The sequence below is a fragment of the Homo sapiens genome, chromosome 8 (genome assembly GCF_000001405.40).
Source record: "Homo sapiens chromosome 8, GRCh38.p14 Primary Assembly".
In the NCBI taxonomy this organism is placed as follows: Eukaryota; Metazoa; Chordata; class Mammalia; order Primates; family Hominidae; genus Homo; species Homo sapiens.
The window spans coordinates 35,260,354-35,272,735 of record NC_000008.11 but is presented as its reverse complement, the minus strand read 5'-3'; the positions used below and the strand labels follow the sequence as shown (position 1 = coordinate 35,272,735).

The 12,382-nt window shown below is 37.5% G+C and overlaps 1 protein-coding gene across 17 annotated transcripts in view; it reads right to left on the bottom strand.

Annotated features, from left to right (window-relative positions):
* The window catches only part of UNC5D (unc-5 netrin receptor D), a 561,066-nt gene that overhangs the window by 523,805 nt on the left and 24,879 nt on the right, over window positions 1-12,382 (bottom strand). The gene's annotated exons all lie outside the window — the stretch shown is intronic.

The window sequence follows — 12,382 nt, the reverse complement described above, 5'->3', positions numbered from 1 at the left end:
GAAGTGGCGAACTGTTTTGAGCTAGTAGCTCCTACTGAGTCCTACAGCACCCCTGAGTCCACTAAGGAGCACTGCGGCAGCTGGTGCACAGTGTAGAAAGCAGTCCTGGGCTGTAAAGGGTTGGCTCACTCTAAGTCACCCTCTCCCCAGGGGCAGGCCATGTTAGGTGACATTGGGGATGAAAGCAGGGCAGAGCAGTGTTCAAGTCCCGGGCACTTGCCTGAGTTTGGAACACTCTAAAGAGCCACTGTAGTTCCAGAGCTCCCCGTGGAATCCACTGTGGCCTCTGCTGCAAGGATATTGACCTTGAAGTTCTCCCTCTACTAGCCCTGAGTCTTCTCTTCCCCTCAGAGCTGATGCCCAGGGTGTGACCAGTGAACTTCCCGCAAGCTGGTCTGCACTCAGAGCCCACATCCCAGGGGAACCCAACCAAGGACGGTCATTTAAAACGGAAAATTCTAAAAAAGGAAGAAATCATTACATTCTCCAGCTAGTCAACTGAAAATATACTTCAAGTAATAGTTACTTTTTAAACATCATTTTTCAGTTTTGTTTGGGGCTCCATAAACACTCAGCAATTCAACCTCATGTTTTATTTTTTTTCTTTTCATGAAAATCCCACAGTTTCAAAAACAGCCTAGCATTAATTCCATTCCACAGCTGCTGTGTTCTCCCGGAGTTTTATTTTAGTGGTGGGTAGAATGACCATATGTTACACCTAACCAAGGCTCTACAGCACGTGCAGCTAAAAAGAGCTCCCATCCATACTGTGTTTGCCATGATATTCTTATCTACAGCGGTGACATGAAGGCTTCTCAAAAGATAACCTCAGGGCTGCAATTTATTTCAAACATATCTACTCAAATGGAAGCTCCATGAGGGGAAAAACTTTGTCTGTCTTATCCCCTGCCTATAGCAACGGCCAGCAAATTATAGGCACTTATACAGATAGAGTGCCTATGTAAATATATGTATACATGTATACATGTATAAATATATATGTATACATGTATACATGTATAAATATATATGTATACATGTATACATGTATACATATATATGTATACCTGTATAAATATAGGTATACATATGGTATACATAATATATGTTACATGTAATATAATATATAATACATGTATAATATAAATATATATGTATGCCTGTATAAATATAGGTATACATATGTATACATATATAAAATATATACCTGTATACATATATGTATACATATGTAGACCTAAATATAGGTACCTGTATAAATATAGGTATACCTACACACATATGTGTGTATACATATACATACACACACATATGTGTGTGTATACATATACATACACACGTGCATGTGTGTACATATACATACACACGTGCACGTGTGTATGCATATACATACACACATGCACGTGTGTATGCATATACATACACACGTGCATGTGTGTATACATATACATACACACATATATGTATACATATGTATACCTATACATATAGGTATACCTATATTTATACAGGTATACTTTTTTAGATTTATATTTAAATATATTTTAATTTATATATACAAATATATTTGTTGAATGACAAAAATCTCCAAAATCAAATTTTTTGCATTCCTGTTAAGGATGCTTATTTTCCTGCAATGTAGCCATAGGACAGAATTCATTAATCTCTCTTAAAATATCAGTTATGATTACTGTGACATGTATATATTTTAAAAATGTAGCTCACCCGAATAGATGTGCTCTGCTGATGAGAAATGGCAGGAGACCTACCCCAGTAACATAGTAATATATCCATAATATATATATATATACCATAGGGGCACATTTCAATGTTAAAAGTTAAAGAAATAAATAGTGATTTTTTTTTTATTGCAGCCACAAGTACAGTGACATAAGTTGGCAACTGGAAGAAATGACTGCCTATAAATTTACTGTATGTTATGAGCCACTGTTTTAAACGGCCATGATGCAGGTATCTGCTAGACACTTGTACAAAGCCAAAAGGTTCATAAAAATATAAATGAGCAGTGATGCTGTGTCTTAGATTTTATCATTTAAGATCTGACAGGACACAAGATTTTAGTTTTAATTTGAAGAATATACTAAACTGCACCAAACATGACTATAACGATAATGACACATACAGTCTATCAATTTGTCATAATCACTAATTAAGAAAGCCTATTGTATTATCATTATTGTTTATTAAGACTATTCAAAAGAAAAAGGCAGAAGCTGGGTAACTAGGGTTAAAAATTAACTCAATATAATCAGAGTCAGAAAATGGTTTCTCATAAAGCTCGTCTCCTGAGACAATCGGGAGAGAATGATTCCACTGAAAAGTAGATGGACATTGGTTGAATTAAATCAGCTACATGAGTGTAGTAGGTGCAGCAATATCTTGCACCAAACTCTACAAACAGCTATAACCACATGCAATCTTCTATCGAAAGCCCAAGAAATCGACTGCTTACCACATAATGAGTTTACCTGGCCACACTCAAGCATCCACTAGGTGACCGTTTAAAAATGAAACACAAACAGTACAGGAGGAAAATTGGGAGAATTTCTTATGGCTCGACACTGAGCTAAATTTCATGGCTGGTGGAAAGAAAAGTTCATCTCTCTGGTTGCCTCAGTTTCATTTCTTGTCCTTCCCTCTCAATTATCTTCTGATATACACAAGAGATACATTCAAAAGGAAGCAGTAGAATAAATACCTTCTCCCATCCTACTCCAAACAGTAAAACCCTACTCTGTGCCACTAAAGATCTCTCATACTTTAGTGGCTGGGGGATGCCATCAAAGCTGTACTGAACACAGGATTTTATGTAGCAGAATGGATATGGACATGCCCTTCAGAGTCACAGACCTGAGTTTGAATCTCCACACCCATCTGTGTGACCTTGGACTCACTGCTTAATCCCTGTAAACATAGTCTCCTAAAGGACCTGCTTCACTGGGTCATTGTTCAGATGAAATGAAATAGACTACTAAAGTACTGATGACAGCATCTCATACCCAAACCGGCGATGGGAGGCTGAATATCAGCACAGCAGTAGGAGAAACTGGAAGAGAATATGTCTGGCATTGTGCCAAACAGAAGAAATTTTTTTTAAATAAGTTGAACCCAATATGGTTAATGGCCTTTGCAAGCTTATGTATTACTGGGAAAGATAAACGAGAAAACTTAAAAAAACTAATCAACAAATACAGGAAAACATTGACACTATCATAAAGCAAGTGGAAATGGTGACCGTGGGAGCTGCGAATTCTGCAGATGTAAGTCAAGGAGGGCAGCATGAAGAAGCGAGCATTTGAACTGGATCTCAAAGAATGAGTAAGCAAGACAGGTAAGACTAGAAAGGCTAATATAAGAAGAGGAGAGTGCACACCCCAGACAGAGAGACAGGAAGGAAGATGGGTGTTCAGGGCCACCTGGGGTCTGACTAGAGCACGCTTGGCAAATGGGATGACTGTGGACTAGGGCTAGGCTGAGAATAGTCCAGATATCATTTTTTGTTTTGTTTTGTCATTTTTATTGGTACATAATAAATGTACCAATTTTCAGGTTACATGTGATAATTTACTACATTCATATAATTTGTAAAGATCAAATCAGTGTAACTGGGATATCCATCACCTTAAATATGTGTTTTCTTTATGCCAGAAACATTTAAATATTCTCTTCTAGTTATTTTGTAATAGGCAATAGATTAATGTAAACTATGGTTACCCACCCACATACTGTTTCATGAATTCGTGGTTCATCCTCCAGGTTAGTGATAGCCAAACTTTGGTCACTGAATAATTTGTTCAGTTATAATTTTTATTGGATCCCCAATAAATGTAGATTTATTTAGAAAATACATACAGTAATGTCTTCTTATCTATGTAGGGACCCTGCATAAGATACTTCTTTCTCTGACTGTATTCCTCATCCTTAAGGCAGAGATAAACAGTATCATTTTCATAGGGGTGTTATGAGCATTAAAAGAGTTAATAAGCAATATATTTAGAACAGTGCCCAGAGTCTAATAAGTTCTAAATAAGTCATCTATTATTATTATATTGTAAAATATATCCCAAACAGAAAATTTTAAGTAATGACAAAATATGAAGTAAATATTTTTTAAATGTGTGACATTATTAAAATAGGGCACAAAAGTTTTGAGATCACAGAAACATTAGTTATTAATAACCCTAGCCAGAGAAATGTGATTTAATATGCAATAGTACTTTTGACTATTTTGGTTTACTTGGTGATAAAGGAGTTCAAGGCTCTGTTTTTAAATTATGTTTATCACTATAGTACTAGGTTGTAATGGCTTTTAGAGTGGAAAAAGACATTGTAAGGAATCTATGAGACCAAAAGAACTACATTTCTGGGTGCACTTATTAAGTAATTTAATCATTGTTCAGTTCCATCCACGTTTTTCAGGTTTTTTTGTTAGTTTCATTTAATAAATTTTCATCTTCACTGATGTCACTAAGTTGTTCTAAAAAAGAATCAGAAGATACTGAAATTTATATTTTTAACAAACAGTTGGAAAACCATTGAAAATTTTGTTATTTGGAAAACATTAAAGTACATTTATAATATTATGTTTCTAAGTTTTCTAAGGGAATATGGGAATTTATAGGAAACAAAGAGTATTTGGAACAAAAAAATCATAAATTAATGCACTCACTTCCAAACTCTAACTTTTAAATATTCTCAACATTCTATAAGTTTATTTTTTAGAATCATTTATGTTTTCATTCATTTTTATGATGATGAGAAACATCAGATGTAGTTTTGTCTTTCTTTTTTCAAAATCTTTGCAAGTTAGAAATCTAGTGATACTCACTTGCCACCACAGAAAAGGTCAGCAAACCTGGAACAATTTTCCTTTCTGAAAAAAAAATACGTATTCATTTTGATGTTTGACAGTTCTTTAGGTTCTTTTGCCTAGGACAGCCAGAGAACATCTATGCGGTTCAAAAAATATTCATGGTCAGGCCGGGTGCAGTGGCTCATGCCTGTAATCCCAGCACTTTGGGAGGCCAAGGCAGGCAGATTACAAGGTCAGGAGTTCAAGACCAGCCTGGCCAACATGGTGAAACCCCGTCTCTACTGAAAATACAAAAATTAGCTGGGCATGGTGGTGGGTGCCTGTAATCCCAGCTACTTGGGAGCCTGAGTCAGGAAAATCACTTGAATCCGGGAGGCGGAGGTTGCAGTGAGCCGAGATCGCACCATTGCACCCCAGCCTGGGTGACAGAGTGAGACTCCATCTCAAAACAATAACAACAACAACAAATATTCATGGTCACTTCCCAACTCAGCACAAAATATTGTCAAGATTCTAGACTAATTTAACAGTCTTGTTCTTTTATGAAATTAGCTATATCAATACAACATGCTATTCTTTGTGCCTATGTGGTTGAAGATTTTTAATGTCTAAAGAGCTCAATCATATATGATGGAGAAATAGATAAACTTCATGTAGGGTGGTTTCTTATTAAACTTACCCTGGAAAAATTCTTTTTCCGCCATCAAAATGACTACTCAATCAGTGATTACACTTGCAAAATTTATTTATTGCTTACAGTGGGTATATATCTCTGGGTTAACTTTCCCTTAACGGCTCATCAAAAAAAAAAAAAAAAAATCAGTCCCTGTGGCAGTGATATATGGTCCCAAAAATGTTGACATTATTTCCAACTAGAGGTGAGTTCTATGTCTCCAACCTTTCAATCTGGTCGCCTCATGATAGCTTCCATCTATATAGCATGGCAGAAGTGACTTCCAAGACTGCATCTTAAAATTCTGTCTTCTGTCTACTTGTCTTGGAATAGGCATTCTCCAGAGGCTCCATTTTGGGATGCTTCCTCCCAGCTGCCATGCCATGAAAAGCTAAACTATACAAAAAGGCCATGTGTAGGTGCTCCATTAACCATCCCAGCTGAGCCCAGCCTTCACCAAGGTATTAGATATATGAGTGAAGAAACTTGCATTTGATTCCAGCCCCAACCATTCTGGTCACTTCCAGGCATTCAATTCTTCCCTACTGAGGCCCCAGAGTTCATGGAGCGGAGACAAGCCATCCCCATTGCACTCTGCTGAATTCCTGACCAGTGGGATCCAAGAGCATAATAAAATGGATGTCTTATGCCACTAAATTTGGGGTGGTTTCCCATACAATAGTTACTGGAATAGACCTTTATGTACTTCACAACTGAAATATAATCTAACAAACCACATAAGCTCTGAGATGTTGGAACATCTGCACTTTAACCTAACCATTTGGCAAACCTCCCATGACTAGTTTGTTCTAATACCTGTTCCTTCAAATCTTCAACAGTATTTACTATATATGGTTCAACAGTATTTACTATATATGGTCCAACAGTATTTGTCAGCAAAGGAATACATTTCAATTGAATGCTATAATGTTGGCTACATATTATTTCAGGCACCTTTACAAAGCAAAGAGAAACACACTTTTCTTCCAGTGGTATGTGGATAATTATCTTTTGTTTTAAAGAAACCTCGAATAAGCTCCCAAACATTTATCATCAAATTTAGTGAAAGGTGGTCAACTTACTAAATTGAAAGATGATTTTAAAGATTTTGAAGAAAAAAATAAGAGGTTTGCCCTAATGTTCTGGAGGCTTATTTTTACTATTGAAAAGTTAAACACATACAGTCAGAAATATGTAATATACTATCATGTACCCATCACCTTACTTCAACAATTATCAATACATAGCCCATCTGTTCTCATTTATATCTCTACCCTCTCTCCCTAACATTTCTAACACATTTTGATGCTAATCCCAGATATATTATTATTATTATTATTATTATTATTATTATTATTATGAGACGAGTCTCGCTCTGTCGCTCAGGCTGGAATGCAGTGGCGCGATCTTGGCTCACTGCAAGCTCTGCCTCCTGGGTTCACGCCATTCTCCTGCCTCAGCCTCTGGAGTAGCTGGGACTACAGGCGCCTGCCACCATGCCCGGCTAATTTTTTGTATTTTTAGTAGAGAAGAGGTTTCACCATGTTAGCTAGGACGGTCTCGATCTCCTGACCTGGTGATCCGCCCACATCGGCCTCCCAAAGTGCTGGGATTACAGGCCTGAGCCACTGCGCCCAGCCATCATATTATTTTTATAAGCATTTCTATATGTGTCTCTAATGCAAGGGTCAGCAAACTATAGCCTGCAGGTCAAATCCAGCCTGCTTCCTTCCTGCTTTTATAAATAAAGTTTTATTGGAACCTAGTGACAGTCATTCATTAATGGATTGTCTATAGCTGCTTTTCCCAGCAGAATTGACATGCTGGTAATAGAGAACTCATGAGCTGAAAAGCTTAATATTTTTACTATCTATCTTTTTTTACAGAAAAAGCTTGTCAATCCCTACTCTAAAGATGAAGAATCTTTATGGGGAAAAAAAAAGACCTAGCATAACACACCTTGCTAATCATTATAGCTCCATATTTAGAGAATATGATTAAGTAATAGCATCAGACTATGATAAGGTCACAGTCTTAATATAACCTAAGAGTAGAATTTATTGTTAACTGTAGTCTAAATAAGGTCACTTTAAAGTGATTTGTCTAACTTCTTGTTAAACCTGCTTTGACTGTTACTGTTTTTCCTCACAATATGGAAGATAGAGAGTATGCACTGAGACCTGGAGAAGCACATCTCTTCCACTTTCTTTGGTTTCATTTGCGGTTTGCGTTATTATGACTGTTTTCAATGTACTACTTGTTTGCAGGAATATTTATGAACCATCTGCCCATTTTATGCAGATCAGTGAAGACTAGAGGATCCCTCAGCTGTACTCTGCAAGCCTTCTGGGCTGTGCAAACTCCACTCTACTCTTAACACATCTCAGGTACACAGGATGGCCCTGCCAATAGCCTGAGTAGGCACAAGAGGCAATTTGTACTTTATATATAAAAAAAGCTTAACACCTTTTACTCTTTTTTTTTTTTTTTTTTTTTTTTGAGACAGAGTCTTGCTCCATCACCCAGGCTGGAGTGCAGTGGCATGATCTCGGCTCACTGCAACCTCCGCCTCCGGGGTTCAAGCAATTCTCCTGTCTCAGTCTCCCAAGTAGCTGGGATTACAGGCACCTGCCACCACACCTGGCTATAATTTTTGTATTTTTAGTAGAGATGGGGTTTCACCTTGTTGGTCAGGTTGGTCTCGAACTCCTGGCCTCAGGTGATCCACCCACCTCGGCCTCCCAAAGTGCTGGAATGACAGGCATGAGCCACTGCACCCGGTCAAATATTTTCTAGATTAAAAGATGTTGGCCAAAGCTTGGTGCAGCCACATGAATAATCATTACGAAGTATTCTCTATGTCCTATTATATACTTGAAACATTTCACATGAAAAGGCGTTTTGCTCCTGCACCCCAATAGACTGTATTGCAAATCCCACTTTGAAAGCTTGTGGAAGAATTTAACCACTCTATTCATTTGCACGTAGAACATCTGCAGTGCCTGAGCAAATAGATTAATGAATTGATAAGCTACAATTTTTGCTGTAAATTTAGTCTTTATATGCGATAGCTAGATATAGATGAGCCCATGCTTTCACTCTCCAAAATGCTACTTTATCTTACAAATCACAAAACCTTATTTGATTATGTTTTTTGCCTGGACCAAACAAAGGATGACCCATTTGTAAGCTTAGTCTCAAAACATAAAAGTGGTTTCTTTTCTAAGAAATGTATTAAATAAATACTGGTATTAATTATAGCAAAAAATCATGAGTGCATTATTTTCTGATAAACTTGTGACAATTTTATACTATTGGAGTTTGCAGCCAGTACAGGAGGGGTAGACAATATTATTTACTCTCACTTGTCAAATGAAAGTGAGAGGCTAGAAGTTTGCTTTATTGCCACAAGGCAAGTCAGTTGTCACTTGATGATCATCCAGGAGGATTTGAAAAATTGCAAAAATCAGCCACCTAATTCTAATTCCTAAGGTCAGGTCATTTATTCAGTTTGTATTCTGTCATCTACTCTACTATTATGAAGGCTTACTATTCAAATCATCTTTTAAATACTAAAGTCTTATTGTTCAGATACAAAGCTACAGATGTGTGGCTTCATTATTAGGTGGCTAGAAAAACTCCATTATGACTTAGAAACAAAAATTATTTAGTCAGGTGCAGTGGCATGAGCCTGTAGTCCTAGCTACTCAGCAGGCTGAGGTGTGAGGCTCACATGAACCCAGGAGTTCAAGGCTGCAGTGAGCTGGACTGCACTCCAGCCTGGGTAACAGAGCAAGACCCTGTCTCTAAAAAAAAAATGCTTTTAATTAAGAAAAATAACAATTTATTAAGTATCATGTGCTACACACAGATGACTAAAACGCAGTCTCTCAAAATTTAGCGCAAATGGACAGAAATAAGCAATTTATTAATTGTAATTTGATAAATTAAATGCCACATTTTAAGAAACTGGTCTCAGAGGGTAGTGATTCATTCTATTCAGAGGAATTATTAGAGGGATTTACAGTGGTTTTCACCTTTAAAATGGGCTTAGAGGGTTAAATAGGAGTTTGTCAGCCTGATAGAGAGGTGAAGCAACTTTGTCTCTTAAAAAAGAATATGTGAAGGTGCAGAGCTATGAAAAGTTCATGATATGTTTTGTGGTTGGAGTATAAAGTACTGAGTGGACAGTGGTGAGAGATGAAACTGGAATGGTAGCCTGAGGATACATCACATTACCAAGTCTGTTCCTTATCTTAATGGCAATAAGGAACTACTGTTGCTTTTTGGGGAGTGATAAAATAACAAGAGGCTTTTAGAAATAGATTTCTGGTACTGAAGATTAATCGTACTATGGAATATGAGAAAGTAGGCAAATCTTGCTCTAGTATTTAGTATCACAGGATTCCATCTTGAACTTAGGAAGGGATTGTTTATCTGTCTATAAATCACTTTAAGAAGCAACACAATTATTTTAATTATTTTAAGCATCTTGCTGAGAAATGAAGTCTCCAAAAGAAGAAACCTCCCTGGAAACAGGACATTTTGGTTGTAATGGAGCTGGGATCCAAGTTATTGTAATTCTCAATCCCAGAAACTAGCTCCCTCTGGCTCTCCAATGAAGCCCTTCTAAATTCTTTCAGTACAATCATTGCTCTTCAGGTTTGGGTGAAAGTCTGTTTCCTACTGAATACAATGCCTTACATTGAACTGTGCTGGAAAGGCTTGTTTGTTTGTTTTTTTAAAGCTGGTTTGGCTGTGTTCAATACTTAAGTAAGCTTTTAAATCATTTGAAATTGAACCTAATATGAAAGGCCAAATATTTAAGAAAACAGGGCTGCCTATTGGGCAAATATTCACACAATCTTTGAAACAGTCAATATCTATTCGGCCGACCATAACTATAGTTTCCAAGACATTAGTCAATGTAAATACATGCTAACTGGAAACAGAGGGAGAAATGACTCTAGAGGAGAAGGAACTCTTATTGGAGAAGCTCTTTTCATTTTAATTCCCTAAAGTTTAATAAAGTATAACTGAAGTATCTACTAATAAAAAAAGTTTCATTATAAGCTCTTACTCATTGCACCAGAGGCAAGGAACCCCATATGACTGTTAAAATTTAGTGAGCATGTACACAAATTTAACATTGTCCCAGTGCCCAGAATCATCCTCTTAATCTGGAGAATTTTCAGTGCTGTACCACGGAGGTATTATTTGCACAGGTCAATAAAAAGAGATCAAGAAACCCAGACAACTACAATAACCCACTTTTATTTTTTGCCAGCACTGACTTTATTTAGTAGCATCAGACATATTCTTGCTAGAGATATATATCTGGCTTCAAACAGTCGAAAAAGCAGCTGAGGAGCTTAATTAAAAACAACCTCCTTCCCAAACCTACTAACACAACGAAACCTCTAAATGGTCCCTGTTATAAAACTCAAGGAAATAGTGACATAGTGCACTTAAGATTGTTCTCATCAGAGTTAACATATGCCTGAAAACCATTTTTTGCTTTCAGTATAAGGGCAACAGTCCATATCCTGAATCGGTAATGAGCCTCCGTGAAATACACACACGCCCCCCACCCCCCTACACACACAAATCATTTCAAAGCCAGGTTGTATTTCCCTTAAAAGGAAGAGCACAAAAGATGAGCACTGAGAGTCTCCCATTGAGAAATAGCTCTGGCTGGCTCTAGCATAATAAACTGCTGTTTACCTTTTGGATTCTATTTATGCCACATGCACATTGTTCATCATTATTAAATGATCCTTTTTTATCTTTCTATGACAGTTACATATTTTAACAGGTGACAGTTTGCCTTTATAAGCAGCAAAACCCTGGTTTATTAGTATGCTTGTGTGGCATAAAATAGAGTTCATTTTTTACTGAAATAACTGGAGGAAAGAAACATCAATTGTGCAGGGTTCTGAATAGCTCAATGGGTATAGAAGGTACTGGCAATAAATTAAGATAGGTTTGCCTTATTTATGAGTCTTAGGTGTTCCTTCACAGTTGCTACTGTGCATGAATTTTAAGCGGCCCTTTGATGCGCAAGTCCATCTGAAGCAGCACTAAAAAACTCACATAGTTTCACAATTAATTGCTTCTCTGCAGTAAACTCAGAGTAGAATGTAACTCTACCACTCAGAATATTCTTTCTGGTGTGACCGTAGCAGTGAAGGCTGCTTAAGAAAAAAATAGACAGAAAGGGAAATTATGATACCTCTGAGTCACTGAAATGGCAAAGTGTGTTCTTTATCAGATTATACTGCAAATCCCAACCCAGATCATTCTGGAAACAGTCATCAGTGTCCTGAGTGCCTTCTTGGAACCAGGGTCTGGAGCTAATCCTCAGCCTGTAGATTAATGCTGCAACCACTGGGATACCCAAAAAAGACAACGTTTTTGGCAAATGGCATTTAAGAGTCACAGCTGCTACACGCTCCCTACGCCATTGTTCAAGTTTATATTTAATAATAGGCATAACTAGCACTTTGCGAGGCAGACGTGTGTGGATTCCCTGAGCTCAGGAGTTTGAGACCAGCCTGGGCAACACGGTGAAACCCCATCTCTACTAAAATACAAACAATTAGCTCGGTATGGCCGCATGGGCCTGTAGTCCCAGATACTCTGGAGTCTGAGGCTGGAGAATCGCTTGAACCCAGAGGTTTCAATGAGCACAGATCATGCCACTGCACTCCAGCCTGGGTGATAGAGCGAGACTCCATCTCAAACAACAACAACAATAATAATAAGCATAAATAAAACCCTTCCTGCAGATAACACTTTGGTCGTGTGTACTTTGTGGACGACGCAAATGGCCCATCCACCTCGGAATTGAGCATTGCCAATGAAGCCTGAGTCAG